The sequence below is a fragment of the Homo sapiens genome, chromosome 4 (genome assembly GCF_000001405.40).
Source record: "Homo sapiens chromosome 4, GRCh38.p14 Primary Assembly".
In the NCBI taxonomy this organism is placed as follows: domain Eukaryota; kingdom Metazoa; phylum Chordata; class Mammalia; order Primates; family Hominidae; genus Homo; species Homo sapiens.
In genome coordinates, this window is record NC_000004.12 from 111896682 (window position 1) to 111919262 (window position 22581).

Here is a 22581-nt window from a genome sequence, read left to right on the forward strand (position 1 = left end):
ACAACCGGTACCAGCCGCTGCAAAATCATGCCAAAATGTAAAGACCATCGAGACTAGGAAGAAACTGCATCAACTAATGAGCAAAATCACCAGCTAACATCATAATGACAGGATCAAATTCACACATAACAATATTAACTTTAAATATAAATGGACTAAATTCTGCAATTAAAAGACACAGACTGGCAAGTTGGATAAAGAGTCAAGACCCATCAGTGTGCTGTATTCAGGAAACCCATCTCACGTGCAGAGACACACATAGGCTCAAAATAAAAGGATGGAGGAAGATCTACCAAGCAAATGGAAAACAAAAAAAGGCAGGGGTTGCAATCCTAGTCTCTGATAAAACAGACTTTAAACCAACAAAGATCAAAAGAGACAAAGAAGGCCATTACATAATGGTAAAGGGATCAATTCAACAAGAGGAGCTAACTATCCTAAATATTTATGCACCCAATACAGGAGCACCCAGATTCATAAAGCAAGTCCTGAGTGACCTACAAAGAGACTTAGACTCCCACACATTAATAATGGGAGACTTTAACACCCCACTGTCAACATTAGACAGATCAACGAGACAGAACGTCAACAAGGATACCCAGGAATTGAACTCAGCTCTGCACCAAGCAGACCTAATAGACATCTACAGAACTCTCCACCCCAAATCAACAGAATATACATTTTTTTCAGCACCACACCACACCTATTCCAAAATTGACCACATAGTTGGAAGTAAAGCTCTCCTCAGCAAATGTAAAAGAACAGAAATTATAACAAACTATCTCTCAGACCACAGTGCAATCAAACTAGAACTCAGGATTAAGAATCTCACTCAAAGCCGCTCAACTACATGGAAACTGAACAACCTGCTCCTGAATGACTACTGGGTACATAACGAAATGAAGGCAGAAATAAAGATGTTCTTTGAAACCAACGAGAACAAAGACACCACATACCAGAATCTCTGGGACGCATTCAAAGCAGTGTGTAGAGGGAAATTTATAGCACTAAATGCCCACAAGAGAAAGCAGGAAAGATCCAAAATTGACACCCTAACATCACAATTAAAAGAACTAGAAAAGCAAGAGCAAACACATTCAAAAGCTAGCAGAAGGCAAGAAATAACTAAAATCAGAGCAGAACTGAAGGAAATAGAGACACAAAAAACCCTTCAAAAAATCAATGAATCCAGGAGCTGGTTTTTTGAAAGGATCAACAAAATTGATAGACCGCTAGCAAGACTAATAAAGAAAAAAAGAGAGAAGAATCAAATAGACACAATAAAAAATGATAAAGGGGATATCACCACCGATCCCACAGAAATACAAACTACCATCAGAGAATACTACAAACACCTCTACACAAATAAACTAGAAAATCTAGAAGAAATGGATACATTCCTCGACACATACACTTTCCCAAGACTAAACCAGGAAGAAGTTGAATCTCTGAATAGACCAATAACAGGATCTGAAATTGTGGCAATAATCAATAGTTTACCAACCAAAAAGAGTCCAGGACCAGATGGATTCACAGCCGAATTCTACCAGAGGTACAAGGAGGAACTGGTACCATTCCTTCTGAAACTATTCCAATCAATAGAAAAAGAGGGAATCCTCCCTAACTCATTTTATGAGGCCAGCATCATTCTGATACCAAAGCCGGGCAGAGACACAACCAAAAAAGAGAATTTTAGACCAATATCCTTGATGAACATTGATGCAAAAATCCTCAATAAAATACTGGCAAACCGAATTCAGCAGCACATCAAAAAGCTTATCCACCATGATCAAGTGGGCTTCATCCCTGGGATGCAAGGCTGGTTCAATATACGCAAATCAATAAATGTAATCCAGCATATAAACAGAGCCAAAGACAAAAACCACTTGATTATCTCAATAGATGCAGAAAAAGCCTTTGACAAAATTCAACAACCCTTCATGCTAAAAACTCTCAATAAATTAGGTATTGATGGGACGTATTTCAAAATAATAAGAGCTATCTATGACAAACCCACAGCCAATATCATACTGAATGGGCAAAAACTGGAAGCATTCCCTTTGAAAACTGGCACAAGACAGGGATGCCCTCTCTCACCACTCCTATTCAACATAGTGTTGGAAGTTCTGGCCAGGGCAATCAGGCAGGAGAAGGAAATAAAGGGTATTCAATTAGGAAAAGAGGAAGTCAAATTGTCCCTGTTTGCAGACGACATGATTGTTTATCTAGAAAACCCCATCGTCTCAGCCCAAAATCTCCTTAAGCTGATAAGCAACTTCAGCAAAGTCTCAGGATACAAAATCAATGTACAAAAATCACAAGCATTCTTATACACCAACAACAGACAAACAGAGAGCCAAATCATGGGTGAACTCCCATTCACAATTGCTTCAAAGAGAATAAAATACCTAGGAATCCAACTTACAAGGGATGTGAAGGACCTCTTCAAGGAGAACTACAAACCACTGCTCAAGGAAATAAAAGAGGACACAAACAAATGGAAGAACATTCCATGCTCATGGATAGGAAGAATGAATATCGTGAAAATGGCCATACTGCCCAAGGTAATTTACAGATTCAATGCCATCCCCATCAAGCTACCAATGACTTTCTTCACAGAATTGGAAAAAACTACTTTAAAGTTCATATGGAACCAAAAAAGAGCCCGCATCGCCAAGTCAATCCTACGCCAAAAGAACAAAGCTGGAGGCATCACACTACCTGACTTCAAACTATACTACAAGGCTACAGTAACCAAAACAGCATGGTACTGGTACCAAAACAGAGATATAGATCAATGGAACAGAACAGAGCCCTCAGAAATAATGCCGCATATCTACAACTATCTGATCTTTGACAAACCTGAGAAAAACAAGCAATGGGGAAAGGATTCCCTATTGAATAAATGGTGCTGGGAAAACTGGCTAGCCATATGTAGAAAGCTGAAACTGGATCCCTTCCTTACACCTTATACAAAAATCAATTCAAGATGGATTAAAGATTTAAACGTTAGACCTAAAACCATAAAAACCCTAGAAGAAAACCTAGGCATTACCATTCAGGACATAGGCATGGGCAAGGACTTCATGTCCAAAACACCAAAAGCAATGGCAACAAAAGCCAAAATTGACAAATGGGATCTAATTAAACTAAAGAGCTTCTGCACAGCAAAAGAAACTACCATCAGAGTGAACAGGCAACCTACAACATGGGAGAAAATTTTCGCAACCTACTCATCTGACAAAGGGCTAATATCCAGAATCTACAATGAACTCAAACAAATTTACAAGAAAAAAACAAACAACCCCATCAAAAAGTGGGCGAAGGACATGAACAGACACTTCTCAAAAGAAGACATTTATGCAGCCAAAAAACACATGAAAAAATGCTCATCATCACTGGCCATCAGAGAAATGCAAATCAAAACCACTATGAGATATCATCTCACACCAGTTAGAATGGCAATCATTAAAAAGTCAGGAAACAACAGGTGCTGGAGAGGATGTGGAGAAATAGGAACACTTTTACCATGTTGGTGGGACTGTAAACTAGTTCAACCATTGTGGAAGTCAGTGTGGCGATTCCTCAGGGATCTAGAACTAGAAATACCATTTGACCCAGCCATCCCATTACTGGGTATATACCCAAAGGACTATAAATCATGCTGCTATAAAGACACATGCACACGTATGTTTATTGCGACACTATTCACAATAGCAAAGACTTGGAACCAACCCAAATGTCCAACAATGATAGACTGGATTAAGAAAATGTGGCACATATACACCATGGAATACTATGCAGCCATAAAAAATGATGAGTTCATATCCTTTGTAGGGACATGGATGAAATTGGAAACCATCATTCTCAGTAAACTATTGCAAGAACAAAAAACCAAACACCGCATATTCTCACTCATAGGTGGGAATTGAACAATGAGATCACATGGACACAGGAAGGGGAATATCACACTCTGGGGACTGTGGTGGGGTCGGCGGAGGGGGGAGGGATAGCATTGGGAGATATACCTAATGCTAGATGACACATTAGTGGGTGCAGCGCACCAGCATGGCACATGTATACATATGTAACTAACCTGCACAATGTGCACATGTACCCTAAAACTTAGAGTATAAAAAAAAAAAAAAAAAAAAAAATACTCAACAATAAGAAAGCACACAGCCTGATTTTTTAAATGTGCCAAAGGCCTTAACTGATGCCTCTCCAAAGAAGATATTCAGATAGCAAATAAGCATACAAAAAGATGCTCTACCTTGTATGTCATTTGGGAAATGCAAGTTAAAACAACAATGTGATACCACTGTTACGCAATTGATGAACCTACATTGACACATCATGATCACCCAAAAGTGAGCAGAAAGGTAAACAAAGCCTCTTTCTTGTGAATGTGAAGAAATGAGAGTAGGATAAAGAGTGTAAAAGTATTAAGAAAAGAATTACTAAAACAAATCAAGCTTTCCCTGGATCACTTCCTATGAAGACATATACAATTCCTCTTTTTAAAAGAAAATTTACCTAAAACCACAATGCATGTATAGTTACCACTTTCCATGGCAGTTCTGATGACATATAAAAATACATTTGAATTGGATTCTGTAAAGCATGTAATTTAAACATTGGTACAACGCTCTAAGTGGGTTTATAGAATCCATGGGTCTAACATATAGGTGAAATCATGTTACGATGGAATTCTTTCAATTATTCAGGTAATTTTATCCCAAACCATGCTCTGCTTACTATAATACTAAGGTGCTGTTATTCAGTGAAATGCTGTTTCTCACTGCTTTTTGTTATTTTCATTGTAAATAAATTCAAGAGCACTACAACTACATATGAATCAGTACATTTTAATGCTTTATTTAAAAATCCATGCTTAAAGTAATGTTGACTTTGTTGCTGCCACTGTAAAATTTTTAAAAACTATGTAAGTGGTCACATCTTCTAACAAGAAACGCATGGTTCACAAACACTTTAAAAACATGCGTTAAACCAATCGTGACTCCTGCGGGTTAAGTGTATGGGTTCCCGGTCAAAACAGATACAATTTCTCATAATATCTGGCCTCTATGCTGGTGTTCTTTATAATGCTATTATAAGAGGTTTCATTAGTCAAAGACATCTTCATCTAAAGCTTCCTTCTGGAAATCATATCCTATTTAATAAATTAGATGTAAAGCTCTTTATTCAGTTAACCACTTTGGATTTATTTATCTTAGATACATTTGGCGTAAAAACCTAAATCAGAAGTGTTTCACCCTGGTAAGGACATATAAAAATAAAATGGTCTTTCTCTCATTTTATTCCTTCCTATTTCCCTTTACCCCGCCTAGATATAATAACCTATTTCTGAAGTAATACGGATAATTCTGTGACAAATCCACTTCAGCCTTGGTAATGCCCTTCGTTTTGACTTCAAAACATTCACTGGCTCTCATGGATTTGTACTATTTAACACCCAGATAAAGGTAAGCTGCCTTTTTTAATAACGATGGATTACATTTTCTCGTTACATGCTCTTATTCAATTGGATTTTTTCAATTTAAGCACATCTATTCTAGGGAAAAATGTAAGTCTGAGAATAATTGTAGTTATTAGAAAAGTAAACATGATGAAACACAAAGTAACATAAACTGAAATTATCTGATTAAATTACTATAAAAAAGACATGTATTTCCATGGAAAAATGATGCAGCTATGTGCTCTGTATTTTCTCTCTCCATTCTTTGTTATAGGACTATGTCATTACTTGTACTTTCTTATAAACAAACATATGTGGAGGATGGGAGATATTTTAAGTAGAAATACAAGTTTGGGCCACGTGCAATCAAAGAAATGTGATGGCATTTTATGTGTGGAGACTGATCTAATAGTCTCTACGCTAACAAATGTGTCAATGTTTTTACCGAAGTTCTTCTTGAATATCAATTCCAGACCTCCAGAGCGTGAGGTTTTCAAATGTGCTAATCCTAATATTCTGATAATATGGCTAAATCTATTAAATTTATTTTGTTCAGTAAACTCAATTCAAATAAAACTGCCTTATTTTAATTGCTCAATAACTCAAATAAAACTGCCTTACAAAACTATACCATTCAATTTGAAACCACTAAAAAGTGTTCCTATATTACTGACAAATGAATATTTTAAAATTATTAAAATCACTTTTAAAATTATTAAATTATTAATTGAGTTAGAGCAGGAATAAATCAGTACTATTTCTAATAATAAAATTAGTTATGATGTTTCCAGCATCAGCATACTAAATGTAGCTATCATTTTACCTCTATTTTCCCTAAACCTCACAAGCATTCTGCAGGAAAGATATGCTGACCTCTTTTCCAGATGGGGACACTGAGGCTGAGAGATGTGAAGTGTCTTACCCTAAACAGCTCAACTAACTAGTTTCTTAAGTAGTATTTGAGCCCTGGTTGACCCAAATCCAAAGTGAATGATCAGCCTAGTACACTACTTAGCCTCTCACATTCCTGGTATCCAATACTGAGACTTGCTCCCAAGTGTTATCCCCTGCTCAGCACCTTGCACAGTGTCCGACATCTACGTAGGTGCTTAGTAAATGTTGAATGGATGAATGAAGCATGCATAAATAAATAAAATGTTAGGCTTGGTAGGGTACAGAACATGACCCACAAATGAAATGTACCCTCACAGTTTCTTAAAGCCAACATACAAAATCCATGAAAGTCTATGTCATTGGCATAAATGTAATTAAAATAACATTCATAGCAGTATATTTCTATTTGAACAATTGATATAAGTTACTCACCTTTTTGAGTACCAGAAAATGTGGTCATATATGTATATGTGTCTATATATATATAATAATCTGAGAAATTAGGCTTATTGATGTCTTCTACTGTTTTTCCTTCAATTCGAGCTTTATTATGATTAATGGAACATTCCCTTTTCCTGTGTCAGAATTAAAACAGTGTATTTCATATACATTCCTTTTTTAGAGATGCCAACGTTTAAACCTGACATTTGAGTTTTGAATCAAATTTTGTAGACAAAACATCTTTAGAGAACAGAATGCAATATTCATTATTTCCAGGCATGTTATTGTTGGATGTATCCTGCAGCAGTGAACCTGAAAGAGTGGCAGGATGAAAAAGTAAGAGTTCAAGAGAAACGAAAGCCAAGACAGAAAGAGAGGAGAGCAAAAGATGAAGAGAAAGAGAGGAAGAGGGAGGAGAGGAGGGAAGAGAAAAAGATCTGTATTTGTTTTACTACCTAGTGACAGCCATATAGAATGACATAATCCTGTTTTTGTAGGACTGTTTTGTTAAAGTAAGAATATTGTGTTTGTCTTATTTAAAACATTTCATAACCGTGCACCAAAAGAAAGATATGAAGACCCTCCTGTTTCATTTCCTGCCTCCATAGAATGTTGTGTTACTAAAATATTTTTATTACAGCAGAACCTGAAGCAATATAAAATGTTTGCTTGAGGATTATTTTTAGTCCCTTTAAGCTGAACTTCTGTAATGAAATCTATTTAGAGACATTCCATAATACCCTATGGTTACTAGCTTATGCAAATGAAGTGTGACCCTGGGAATAAACCTCTTGCCCCCTCATCATCCTCCCTGGCTTCAAAGGTCTCTAGGCAATCACTTTTTTAAGTGAAGAGATTTTAAGGCTGAATTGAAATAGAAAGAGAGGGAATATAACTTGATATATAATACTCGTACAACCCAACCATTTACTATCTACTGTTTTCCCATAAATATTTAGACACTAATTTATAAATCCATTTGGGATAAAGGTATTAGTACGTAATGATTTTTTTCTTTCAACCTCTACCTTTACTTTGGATTCTACAAACTAAAGACCAATATCAATCAATAGTCATTTACTCTAACTTCATTTCTTCTTACTTAAACTGAGGGTCACTAGATTGGGACAGAATTGGTTTAGTGATAACAAATCTCTGCTGATTATATTCTCACTGAAAATATATTTGTGCTGAACATCAGAATAATCAAAAGTGATCAGGAAGATTTATATAATTCTAAAGAGGATAATAACTAGGTATATGCTTAATATATTACTTGAATATATTAATATTGGAAAATATTGATGTTTAAAAACAATTGCAGAGAAAAATGATGGATCTCATTTTTAAGAGAAGGTTAATGAAATTGGATAACATTGCATTTTCAGAAATACTAGTGAATGGGAAAGAGCTGTCTAAAATGCTTGGATAATAACCATCATAATAAACTTTATAATTTTAGGGGTCCCTTCCTACTGGATGATACTATGAACACAAAGTTTACTTTTTATGGGACAAATTGTTTAAATGCAAGCCAGTTACAGATGGTGAGTGGATTCAAATCAGCTTTTGGAGGCCCTAGGGATCTCCAGGTCAAAGTGTCACCTCAGGATATTGCTAAAATTAGGAACTAATCCAGGATGACTCTGGGACTTGTAGGCCAAAAGGTCTGCTATACAATATTTCAAGAGATGGCAAACCACAGATAACTAACTTTTTAACCTGGTCAAATAGCACAATGAAGTTAAAGTGCCCTGGAAATTCTCTGCAAATACTTTTCTTTTTTCAATACTCTGGTAAAGTGTGGTGAATCTACCATTTTTCATAAAATATAGAGCTTTTTTAAAATTAAAGTAAATGTTACCATTTAAGCTCTGTTATTTATGTTCTGCTTTTTTGTATATGATTATCAAATTTATGTCATGAGGTTTTATTTTAGGTGGTTGATGTTGAATAGTCAGTATTTGGTATAGGTTAATGCTTAGGCCTTGAAATGCATAAGGCTTCACAAACTCTTCCTTTCTAAGGGGTAGGATCTCTATACTACAGCTATCTTCATGGAAAAATCTGATTAAGCTCCAGAATAGGGTAAACGGTCCTGAATCCCTGGCCAGTGACTGAAAGAGAGAAAATTAATCAACGATGTACTCAAAATAGGTGCCAGAAGTTGGTGCTAAAACTTAGCTGGTCACCGCAAAGTAATGACTCAAAATAAGATTGTTGCACCTGTTAATGCTACTAAGTTATACAGCAAATATGCATGGACCCAGAAAAAAAAAGAGAATGATGCAACAGAGGTAAGAATTAGAATTCAGAAGAAACTGGAGCATAGCAAACCAAAATCACAGCTAAAATACACCGGCAAATTATAAAGCCACAGAAACTAAGGGCCCAGTAGGAAAAAGTCAAGGAGCCTCAACCTGCAAAAAGCAGTAAATCTAGTAGAAAACATTGGATAATTAAAGAAAACTCTCCTGAAAAACAATATATAATTCCAGATTAGTACCCATGCAGACCAAAGTCAATTCCTTTCAGAAGCATTTCTCCAAACAGATATGTCAGGTTTTTAAACCTCAAGGACTAATAAATATTTGAGAAGAATTTCAACTGTAGACACTCCTCCTCCAGACTGAGAAAGGAATGAGAGGATGCCCCATGATAAAGAGCCACTCCTACAAGTGTAGCATGTTTGCAAGTTGACCTTCAACAGACTAATCCAATGGTTCACTTGTTCATTCATTCTCTCAACAAATATTAACTTTTGTTATATGACAATCATTCTGTTTATATGCTGCATATAAGACGGTGAACAAAACAAACCCCTTCTCAGCTCTTAAGCATGCAACCAAGTGAGGGAGACAAATTACTAAAAATAAACAAACAAAGAAGCAATTACAGGTGGGCAGATCATGAGGTCAAGAGATCAAGACCATGCTGGCCACTATGGTGAAATCCCATCTCTACTAAAAATACAAAAATTAGCTGGGCATGGTGGTGTGCACCTGCAGTCTCAGCTACTCGGCAGGCTGAGGCAGAGGCTGAAGTGAGCCGAGATCGCGTCACTCCACTCCAGCCTAGCAACAGAGTGAGACTCTTTCTAAAAAGAAAGAAAAAAGAAGCAATTACAGTTTATGATAAACATGATAAAAGGGTAAGGGGGATGCAGTAAGACAGAAAGACAGAATAATTGGGCGAGGGGGCTTTAATTTAGATAAAGTTCATGGAAGACATTTCTGATAAATGTTTTTTAAGAAACCTGAGACCTAGAAGCTGAGTAAAAGCCTGGTACAGAGGAGGCGAAAGAGTCTTCTAGGCAGGAAGACAAGCACGATTGAAAAACCTGAGGTGAGAAAGAGCTGGAAGCATTTGAGAAACTGAAAGAAGGGTCTCAAAGAGGCCATGAACAGAAAAATCTAGAGCAACTCATTCATGGAAGGACCACAAATCTACTGAAAGAAATATAGATGGTATTTTTATTTGCAACAAAGGGACATTAAAGAGCTTTACACAGGCCAGTTGAATGTCAAAAGCAGATTTACCAAGAAGCTAGTGGAGTTTCAACTTCAGAACCATTCAGGACCTTTCTGAAGTCCCAGAAGGAGCCCTAGCAAAGTGCTCGCTCACATATGTTTTCATAATATTATATATAGTCTGTAATGTTGCATATCTATATCGGCTCACTTTGCTCATGTGCCCCATGAGAGGGAAATTTAGTCTTTTTTGTATACTGCTATATCCCTAAAGACTAGAATAATAACTGGCATATAGGAGGTGCTCAATTAATATTTGTTGAATGAATGAAAGATCTTCAGGGCATGTTACAATGATATTCGCCTCCAAGCTGGATCTCTATGACTCTAGTGCTCCCTATCCAATACACCATATCTGATAGTAGTAAAGAACAATCAGTCCCTAAGAAAAGGGGAAGAAGTCTAATATACACATAAATATATAAATCACATATATATCTGATCATATCAGTACCCTCCTTATCTATTGCCCTTTGGCACCTCCCCACCACCTACAAGAATAAAGTCTCAGCAATTTAGAAAATCATGATCAGTAGAGCAAGTCACATAGATCCTCAACCTATTACATCATATGATAAGTTACTTAACATCCCAGTGTTCAAATTTTCTCCATAGGGCCATAGTGTATATTAAAGGTTATGCTTTTATAGTTTTTGAAAATGTCAGTTAAGACAGTCAATAACATCTACTACCTGCTTAGTAAAGCATGTAAGCAGAGAGCTCTGTAACTGAGTTTTCCTCCTTCTTTTCCTCTATATTTTCTTCTATCTTGCATTGACTTTGCTGTCCCTCCCTCAAACCATCACTCCCACCACACAATGCTTAGACTTTAGGATAAATATTGGTCAGATAGATCTTAAAGCAGAGAATGGAATAAAAAATGACAATAAACTTTGGAAAAAAATGATAGAAAGCCCAAGCTCCAGTTCCACAAAATGGTCATGGTCTCCAACTTTCTTAAGGTCCTGGCCACTATCATAAAAGAAACATCACATTTCTTACATAGTTTCAGAAGTGCCTGCTCTGAACCACACTTAGAAGTCAAGTAGCAAAACAGGATCCTTAGCAGCAAAGTGCTCAAATGTGTCAGTCATATCAGTTTTTATTTTCTTTGTTTTGTTTTGTCTTTTGTAGAGACAGGGTCTGGCTATGTTGCCCAGGCTAGTCTCAACCTCCTGGCCTCAAGTGATCCTCCTGCCTCAGCCTCCCAAAATACTGAGATTACAGTCATGAGACACTGTGCCCAACCTAGTCTTACCAGATTTGTATAAGATAATCACCATATCATTCATCAAAGAATCATATCCTAGGCTATATTTCCTTAGTGGATTAAAAATCTCAAAGAGTGAAGGCAGAGAAAAAGTTCTAAAATTTTACAGAAATGTATCATCAATGCAAACGGCCAGAAAATAATTGCAGAAAACCAAGGAGCATATTAGAGAAAAGGATTTACCTCTTTAGGCCAAGCTATATATAGACAGGACAGTATATCTGGGGTCCTGGCATTTCAACGCACACCCTGTCAGCAAGCCAAGCACATTCTGATAATGTTACATCAAAAGATACAACATTATCCCTGCAAGGGCCACAGGAGCCTAATATTTTCTCCTCTACCAATAAATAGATTTCAAATACAGTTGCCTTCTGGGTAGTCAAACCCTGGCTAGTTTGGGTATGATATAGGATGTGAACATAGGATGAGGAGGCACCTGAAGTCCTAGGAGACTGATATAAAAATAGAGTGTGCATTTTGAGTACATGGGCCAAAGATGCCCCACTCGTTTACAAGTAGAGCTTGTCACTAAGGAAAGAGATGGTAGATCATTTTCGTAGGAAGTACAGAACCAGTGATATCTTAAACTAGGATATGAGAGTAAAGAACAATGAGTCCTTAAGAAAAAGGAAAGTCTAGACTGTTACAAGCTCAGGGTTGAACACCGACTGAAGGCATTCTTGGGGGCAGGTCGCTGGGCACAATGTTTGATTGACATTGGAAGCCTTTCAGACTCAGCCACTTTTGCAAGGCTGCTGTGCTGTAGTGACTAGTAACTTTCACACTCAGATACTCTGTCAAGGCTGTGCTGTAGTGACTGGTAACTGAGCATATAAGCAAAGGGCCCCAATCTTATAGCATGGGTGGGCATCCAGCTGAAAAATGCAGGACAGGTTTCTGACATTGACACCATGTGGCAGAAGAAGGCAAAGGCATTCGTGAACTGAATAAACTTTCTTGTGCCTCTTGTGCTCTAGTACTTGAAATAAGACTAGCCTCTCCTTTAGTATTAAGGATTTTCTGGGCTTCTTGGGCAATTAAGTAGGAGATATGCTAATAGGACAGTTAAGTAATAGATGAGGCAATAACTCTCAAGGCTTCGGCATGGAAGTGGCACATATCCCTTGTCCATACTTCTTTGTAACACATTTCCTCCGCCAAAATATTTGGCTAAGCTTGATATTTAAGAGACCCGGTAGAAAAGGATGAAGTAAACAAGGGTCCAATAAAATGAAGTCCCAAATATTTTGACAATCATAGCATCTATCACACATTTCTTCTTTGTCCACATAGTCAATGATCAGTATCTAAACAGAGACATGATAAAAGAAAAAAAATAACTTTATAGACTCTCTAATAAGAAGTGTGAAGATTTTATTTTTACAGTTGAGATGCTTTCTAATTCTAAGCTTCTTTAATTTTACAGTAAATACTATGGCACTTTTTCTTTCTTTCTTTCTTTCTTTCTTTCTTTTTTTTTTTTTTTTTGAGACACTGTCTCGCTCTGTCACCCAGGCTGGAGTGCAGTGGCATGATCTCAGCTCACTGCAACCTCCACCTCCCAGGTTCAAGCGATCCTCATGCCTCAGCCTCCTGAGTGGCTGGCATTACAGGTGTCCACCACCATGCCTGGCTAATTTTTTTTTATATTCTTAGTAGAGATGGAGATTCACCATGTTGGCCAGGCTGGTCTCAACCTTCTGACTTTAAGTGATCTACCTGCCTCTGCCTCCCAAAGTGCTGAGATTATAGGTGTAAGCCACCTCACCTGGCAGATGCCTATTTTTTACATTAAAAATTTGAAGCTCTGTCTATTAAATGCATTGAGTTCTTTTGGAAAATACTATCAATGTCATGGTTATTATATTTATAAAATGTAATTGTCTCTAAATAAAAATTTTTGTTTAACAATTTTTTCCTTTAAAAAATAAAAAATTATATAATCTGCACTACTTTGCATCTTCAGATTTTACTATTTTCTCTCTGTTTTTATCCTTATTTCTTCCTACTCACTTGATATTTTTACACAAAAATGTATAACAAGAGTAAAGTTAAGAGAGAGATCTTTTTAACTTATGTATGACTTCCAGAAAAGACCATCTGAAACAGTCATACCTATATCATTCTATATCATACCTATAGATCCTAGAGAAACTCCAAGATTAGGTATAGCATAGTGTCTCTAACATGGTTAGAAAATCACCACATTATAAACCCACCAACCAAAAAGATAATTTCTCAAAGACTATGATCTAGCTATAATAAAAATCTATCAAGCCTGTACAGGTCTAAATGACCTATTGTGGAAGTTATCTTGGTTGTTCTAAAAACAACTGACTATGTAATTATTAGATATTGCAGCTAAATGTTGCATATTTAAGTTTATGCAAACACACACCATTATAAATAGACTGTTTTTTGACATGAAATTATTTACACATTAAAAAAGGAATGTAGAAAAGGAAACTGATCGCAATGTAAGGAACATAATTTGCTTAAAGCAGGTCTCCTCAGATATAAAATCAAGAACATTAACCATACTACATTCAAAAAAACAAAATATTTTAAGGATATTTTATTTCTCTTTCCAGTTCTATGCGAATTGTAATGATTATCCTCAAACCATTTTCCATTAAGTATATATGTTTATAAACACATAAATTGCAATTAATCTACAAAAATTTACTGGTTCTAAGTAACAGGGTATGTTTTAGACACTTAATAAAGTAATATCCTCAGTTCTTCTGCTTCTCTCTGTAAATTTCAACATCTCAATCAATCAATAAAAGACCTTCAAGGATCAAAGTTTCTCAGTGACCAAATGGTAGGATTACCTCAGGATTTAACACCAGGCTTGGTTAAATACAGGTTACATAGATCTCTTCTTTCTTTGGGCACAACCAGAAAGGATTCTTTTAATTATGATAGAAGAGCAACAAGTAGAAAAAAGACAGCCTCTATGCCCCTCTCAATCAACAGACAAATCAACAAACCAGACAGAATTATATGTGATCTGATAGCGTGTATTTTGTGACATCACCATCATTCTTATCCAACAATTATTGAGCATTTCCATATGCTAGGTATTGTGGTAGAAGTTTGAATATCAAAGAAGGAATAAAGAATGAATATGATTTTGCCAGATGGGCAATGGGGGCCTGCGGAGAGAGAAGGGAGATGGGAAAAGAGAGAGAAGGCATTTCAGACAGAATGAACATCACCAACAAAGTTACAGAAACGTGAAACAACATAGCAAATTCTTGAAACTGCTATTAGAACAGTTCAGATTGGTGCCTACTGCTAGGGCACAGGCTGAGAGTGATTAGGTCTTGGAAGGGCGTGGACAGAGACTACTTCATGGAGGGCCATGTGTGCCTTAAGAAAGGTTGTAGATTATCATGTAAACAATGAAGCATCAAGGGAGTGTCTTAATGAAAGAAGCCACGTTATAGATCAGAGTTTTGAGAAAATAATTTTGGCTGGGGCATGGGGTATACCTTAGAGGAGATTGACATAGAGGGAAAATATCAATTAGGAGACTATATTTAAAATTCAGAGAAGTGATATTTTTAAAGGTTCTGAGCCCAGTTTTGGATTTGTTACTCATGAGGGGCCTATTGTACATCCAACATCTACTAGAGAGATGATGGCATTTTTCAGGATTTAAAACTTTTCTGTTTAAAAATTTCTTTTCCCCTAACAGACAATTTGAAAGGAGTCATCAATATTCCCTACATTCTTGCAAAATATCTTTTTACAAATGTTACATTGAAGATGTTTGAATCCCTACTTATAGGATTCATTTGGTCCTTCACTGAAGAAAATTGCCACAAATCTCTAATTCACTGGATGGGATAGGATTCACATCGCAGATCATGAGATTCACTCTTTTAAGTGACAAATGACCGTATTTCCCCCTTATTTGGTAACTGACTCCTTCCTCCAACCGAGAGCTTGTATCTCTGTACTTAGGCTTCCCACCAAGATTACATTTGTCCACGACCTATGAAGTAATCTGAACTGTTTTGTAATTTTTAAACACCAGTATAGGAGAAAACAATGATTGGGTGTCCTCAAAATTCTGCTCAGTGGTCTGACATCATAGATATTTCCCCAGGTCTATTTCCATATTTGACCAATTCTTCTTTCCATTGAGTCATGCTGAACAAAATACATTATCTCAATAATTGCTATCTTCATCAACCTAAAATTAAATGTATCATTCCATCACTGTGGTATGATGAGAAAGAAATTCTGTCTTTTAAAAAAGTTATAGGGATACTGGTGTTAGGGAAGTTATACCGTACAAGTAGAGGAAATTTTTTTTAAGTTTTTTTTTATAATTGCAGAAAAAAGTTTGTCATAACTCATGAAACAATAAAGCCTACTTTGACAACAAAGCCTACTTTATGCCTTTTGTAAAGAAATAAAGGCAAAAGTAAGTATAGTTCCAAATACTATCATTAAAACTTGTGTCTATATTTTAATTTCTGCTTATTTAGCATTGCCTTCATACTTAAAATGTATAAAGCATCACTACTAAAAATATAGCATCTCCCTAGAAAGTGACTTTAACAATAAATAGCTTGTTATAATTAGCTAATGTTGCTTCATAAACCCAAAACCTTTTAGTAAGTTTACATTAAAACTTAAATAAGGTCTTCAGAAACGTCTGTGATGAAGATCACACAATGCAGTAATACCAAGGAGAATTGTTGACAGTAGCTTCTCACTAGTTGCCAAAGTCCATGACTGTTTTAAGATTATGGAAGGCCATTCATTTTGTTTGCATGAATTTAAAGATAATTTAACCAAATCCCCTAACAGTAGTTAATGGTTCTTAATTATATGATGTGATAAAATAGAAGAAAGCCTTGTTCGCTGAAAGGGAGTATTATTATTAAAATTGTCTAATTTTATATGACAGTAAAATTAAAAGATGACACAGTGAAGAAGGAAAAATACCCCATGGAGTGGTTAAACAACACCTAAGTTTTCACTTTTCTGTGCCAAGTTTTATTTCAGAGAAAAAGGCTCAGTTGCACAACATTTCAGGAAAACATAAAATTAAGCTTTGGAAGTAGATTTCATGGCCCAGCCCTTCTTTACTGACTTATGAAGAAGTACATTTTACATCATTGTTTGAATATGCTAGCATTTCCATGATCAAACTTTTGACTTCAAAATTGAATCGCAGTATAGTTTATTTTGAGCAATTCTAAGTGTTATACCAGTATATCCTATCAACTTTGAACAGGAATTGAGAACACACACCTGGCTTACAAGGATGCTATAGGATTTAGAACATGAACATGATACGCATATCTGAGATTGCCCTCACTATTTCTTTTGGGGGCAAGAACTCTATTTCTTTCAAACTCATGTAAATACAACAGCTAGTCAAGATTTTCCAGTCCTCTTCTGTTTGGGGACCGGAATAATTACTAGTTATTGAGTGTGAAGTGCATGTTTTACCTGAGTTTTTTCATTTGACGATCCAATCCCTATAAGACAAATGTTATGGTTATAACATCCCCATACTACAGATTAAAATTTCAAGGCTTAGAGAGGTTAAACTGTATGCTCAAAACACATGGACTGTGAAGAACAGACACAGCGTTCGAATCCCAGTTCTGTTCAACAGGGATTCAAATGCAGGTCTGTCTAATTCCAAGTCTTAGGCATATAAAACTGAATTCATATATTTTCTGCCAAATCCCCAAATCTGTCTCTATTGTGACATTTCCTACTACTACAGATGGTACCATACTTCCACTTATCTGCAAAAGCCAGAAAACAGGGATAATTTTTAACTCCTTTTTCCTCATTTTCAATAACCAATAAGTCAACATGTCCTCTCTTCTACTTTATATCTTTCAAATCCAGGTTTATCCCAACTACGTTTTCTCTACCTTAGTTCTGCTCTCATAATTCCTTTCCTGGATGGTTGTAAAAGTTCTCAACTGATATTTCTACCTCCAGTCTTACCTGTCTCTAATCTACTCTCCACACCACAATCAGAATGAGCTTTCGAAAGTACACATCTTGTCGTATAGTAATCCCAATGTAAAAGCCTTAAATAGTTCCTTAGTGCCTTGGAGATAAAGCTCAAAGCCTTCTTAGCTCTTTTAGGGTCCTTTGTTAATTGTCCCTTGCTTAACTCTCCATCCTAATCTCTCTCTACTCTTTCTCTCACAGACTACATCCCACCCCGCTTAATGTTCAATAGTTATTGAAACATTCCAGGTGATTTCTTGCCTTTATGCTTTGGTACAGATTTCCTTCCTGCTTCTTTGCAAATTTCTCCCTACTTTTTCCTAATTTTTACTTGGATAACAATTCTCCCTTCAGGAAGCATTTTCAGTATCCTCTCCTTAAACTATCTGTCTAAACTGTTACTTGCCACAGCACTGAGCTCAAAGCACTCAAAGAAAATATTGTCATTATCCAGTTAGGCTTTAAGATTCTTCCAATCCTGCCCATTTTTTTTTATTTTCTTTATTATACTTAAAGTTCTGGGATACATGTGCAGAACATGCAGGTTTGTTAAATAGGTATAAACATGCCATGGTTGTTTGCTGCACCCATCAACTTGTCATCTACATTAGGTATTTCTCCTAATGCTATCCCTCCCCTAGGCCTCCACCTCCCAACAGGCCCCAGTGTGTGATGTTCCCCTCCCTGTGTCCATACGTTTTCATCGTTCAACTCCCACTTATGAGTGAGAACATGTGGTGTTTGGTTTTCCGTTCTTCTGTTAGTTTGCTGAGAATGATGGTTTCCAGTTTCATCCATGTCCTTGCAAAGAACATGAACTCATCCTTTTTTATGGCTACATAGTATTCCATGGTGTATATGTGCCACATTTTCTTTATCTATTCTATCATTGATGGGCATTTGGGTTGGTTCCAAGTCTTTGCTATTGTGAACAGTGCCACAATAAACATACATGTGCATCTTTCTTTATAGTAGAATGATTTATGATCCTTTGAGTATATACCCAGTAATGAGATTGCTGGGTCAAATGGTATTTCACAATGATTGAACTAATTTACACTCCCACCAACAGTGTAAAAGTATTCCTATTTCTCCACATCCTCTCCAGCATTTGTTGTTTCCTGACTTTTTAATGATCACCATTCTGACTGGCATGAGATGGTATCTCATTGTGGGTTTGATTTGCATTTCTCTAATGACCAGTGATGATGAGATTTTTTTCATGTTTGTTGGCTGCATAAATGTCTTCTTTTAAGAAGTATCTGTTCATATATTTTTTCTTGTAAATTTGTTTAACTTCCTTGTAGAGTCTGGATATTAGCCCTTTGTCGGATGGATAGATTGCAAAAATTTTCTCCCATTCTATAGGTTGCCTGCTCACTCTGATGATAGTTTCTTTTGCTGTGCAGAAGCTCTTTAGTTTAATCAGATCCCATTTGTCAATTTTGGCTTTTGTTGCCATTGCTTTTGGTGTTTTAGTCATGAAGTCTTTGCCCATGCCTATGTCCTGAATGGTATTGCCTAAGTTTTCTTCTAGGGTTTTTATGGTTTTAGGTCTTACATTTAAGTCTTCAACCATCTTGAGTTAAGTTTTGTATAAGGTGTAAGAAAGGGGTCCAGTTTCAGTTTTCTGCGTGTGGCTAGCCAGTTTTCCCAACACCATTTATTAAACAGGAAATTCTTTCTCCATTGCTTGTTTGTGTCACGTTTGTCAAAAATCAGATGGTTGTAGATGTATGGTGTTATTTCTAAGGCATCTGTTCTGTTCCATTGGTCTATATCTCTGTTTTGGTACCACTACCATGCTGTTTTGGTTACTGTAGCCTTGTAATTATAGTTTGAAATCAGGTAGCATGATGCCTCCAGCTTTGTTCTTTTTACTTAGGATTGTCTTGGTTATGCGGGCTCTTTTTTGGTTCCATATGAAATTTAAAGTAGTTTTGTCTAATTCTGTGAAGAAAGTCAATGGCAGCTTGATGGGGTTAGCACTGAATTTATAAATTACTTTGGGCAGTATGGCCATTTTCACAATATTGATTCTTCCTATCCATGAGCATGGAATGTTTTTCCATTTGTTTGTGTCCTCTCTTATTTCCTTGAGTGGTGGTTTGTAGTTCTCCTTGAAGAGGTCCTTCACGTCCCTTGTAAGTTGGATTCTTAGGTATTTTATTCTCTTTGTAGCAATCGTGAATGGGAGTTCACTCATGATTTGGCTCTCTATTATTGGTGTATAGGAATGCTTGTGATTTTGCACATTAATTTTGCATATTAATTTTGTATCCTGAGACTCTGCTGAAGTTGCTTATCAGCTTAAGGAGATTTTGGGCTGAGATGATGGGGTTTTCTAAATATACAATCATGTCATCTGCATACAGAGAAAATTTGACTTCCTCTCTTCCTACCTGAATGCGCTTTATTTCTTTCTCTTGCCTGATTGCCCTGGCCAGAACTTCCAATACTATGTTGAATAGGAGTGGTGAGAGAGGGCATCCTTGTCTTGTGCTGGTTTTCAAAGGGAATGCTTTCAGTTTTTGCCTATTCAGTGCTATATTGGCTGTGGGCTTGTCATAAATAGCTCTTATTATATGAACAAAGAACAAGGACTATTAGCTTTCTAAATATCATTTAGAAGTTGGCTGTGTTTTTTAAGAGACATAGTCCCTCTCAAGTTTTTACTTGTCTTCCATCATAAAGGGAGTCAATGTCATTGCCTTCACACCAAGAGAATATGACTAGCACTGTAGCCCAACTGACCATCTTTCCAACCCTTCAAGGACTAAGGTAGTCATTCATTCCCACAGGATTCCATCTTAGCAGTACAGGGATTTAGAAGTCTCCCAATTATTACATAATTGGCTCACAGTTGGAACTGGATGAGTGTAAGCAAATCATTTGATTTGGTTCAGTTCAACAAGTATGTATTTATTGAATGCATACGATGTGCTAAGCATCAGGCAACAGAGATGAAAGAAAACTTTTTAGGAAATTACAATCTAATGATGGAGATAGATAAACATATATGACATAATGTGCTAAAAAAAAAAGAGAGAGAGAGAGAAAGAAAGAGATAACAATCTGCACAGGGTGCCACAAAACCACTTGGCTGGGCCGGGTGCAGTGGCTCACGCCTGTAATCCCAGCACTTTGGGAGGCCAAGGCAGGAGGATCACAAGGTCAGGAGACCAAGACCAACCGGCCAACATGGTGAAACCCTGTCTCTACTAAAATACAAAAAATTAGCCAGGCGTGGTGGTGCATCCCTGTAGTCCTAGCTACTCAGGAGGCAGGGGAATCGCTTGAACCTGGGAGGCAGAGGCTGCAGTGAGCCGAGATCGCACCACTGCACTCCAGCCTGGCTACAGAGCGAGACTCCAAAACAAAACAAAACAAAATAAAAACCAACCACTTGGCTTTATCTAAGAGTTGTTCATAGATTTCCTGGAAGTGATAGACCTGACTTAATTTCAGGAAAAATGGATGAGCCTGGTCCGTGGGGAAGATGAGAAGGTTCCCCCAGACAATGAAACAAAATGAAGTAAAATACACAAGTGTAGTCACAATTTGGTCCCTCTGAAGTAGACACTAAGTACAAGATGCTCATGAGAATTAATACCTGTGGAAGTGAGTAGGAAGAAGCAGGATTGGGCAGAGGGAGAAGTTGAGGTGTGACACTAGTGGTCTACCAGCACCATGGAGGGACTGCAGCCAGACCTTAGATCCCTTCCTGGCTCTGCCACTGCATGCAATATGACAAGAAAATGTGACCCTGGGCAGGGCTGCAGGCTGAAGCAATTGGCAGAGAATTGACTGAAAGGCAGCTAGGCAGCAAGTCCTTCCTTGAAGGGGTCCAGCATGGTGCATCTCTGCGTCTGCCACAAGTGTGAATCTAGGTCCAGTATTATTAGACTATAAATTTCCATCTGGAGACTGGTATAAAAAGTGGCTGAAAAGACAGATTTTTCAAAGACACATTCTCAAAATGATATGCTAGCACTTCTGGGGGAAAAAAACCACTTATACAAATTGCTTCCTAATGCTGCACTCAGTGACATAGCTTTGTATCTTGAAATCAGCTTTCTTGAGAATATCTCCACCACAAAAACAGTCAGAAGTTACAAATCAGAGCCTTACTGTTTTGAGAGCCAGTTTACCAGCACAAGACTTTACCATTTCCCTTCCTGTGTCTATAAACCCACATCTGAACCACGATGAATAGAAACCCTGGGTAAGAAGGCACTCCACAACCTGCTCAAAATTGGAGAGATTATAGGCCAATAAGCCCCATCTCTTTATACTGAGAGAAGTAAAAACTCTTCACTTTTCCACCTTCTAATCCCTCCACTAACCTCACTTCTGCCTTAGTAAGGTGGAGTCTCAAAGGATAATTCATTCATTGCAACTATTCTGTTTTCACAGCTATTCAAGAACATGTATTGAAGGCCTACTATGTGCCAGGAACTAAGCTAGGGACTAGAAGAACCAATTAAGAGCATGCAATTGTATACAAACAGACTTAATTCCTGTTCTTAAAGTTTTTTAGTTGAGTGGGAAATAGAAATATACCTCAAATAAATCATGAAATAAATATATAATCACAAATGGTGATGAATACTATGAAGAAAATATGGAGAATGATAAACACTTAAAATCCCCGATAGTTTAACCTTATGGGTCACTTACAATAGCATAAAATAAAGCGTTCTTGTTATTAGACCCTACAAACTAAAGCAAGTGATAACATACAGTTTTATAGAAAGCCAATCATCATATTCTGTCTTAAGTTCCTGTCTTATCTTAGTTTCTTCTAACTAAGTGCCTTGAAGATTATTAGCTAAAATCCCCTGGTTAGGACAAAACAATTGGCAAAGAAAATGCAGCATCTCAACCCTAAATTCACATTCCTAGGCTTATTATCTAAAAAAAAGTGAATTTTTTTCACTAACATTATTTTAGGGAAAAAAATAATG

At 36.8% G+C, this 22581-nt stretch overlaps 2 long non-coding RNA genes across 6 annotated transcripts in view; one reads left to right on the forward strand and one right to left on the reverse strand.

Moving 5' to 3' along the window:
• Window positions 1-22581, reverse strand: part of LINC02945 (long intergenic non-protein coding RNA 2945) — a 308805-nt gene that overhangs the window by 93216 nt on the left and 193008 nt on the right. The window lies entirely within an intron of this gene.
• LOC105377369 (uncharacterized) overlaps window positions 1-22581 on the forward strand; it is a 77408-nt gene that overhangs the window by 50393 nt on the left and 4434 nt on the right. For both annotated transcript variants that reach the window (XR_939077.3, XR_939076.3), the window contains exon 3: window positions 5352-5486. This is a non-coding gene — a long non-coding RNA (uncharacterized LOC105377369). The remainder of the gene's footprint in view (window positions 1-5351; window positions 5487-22581) is intronic.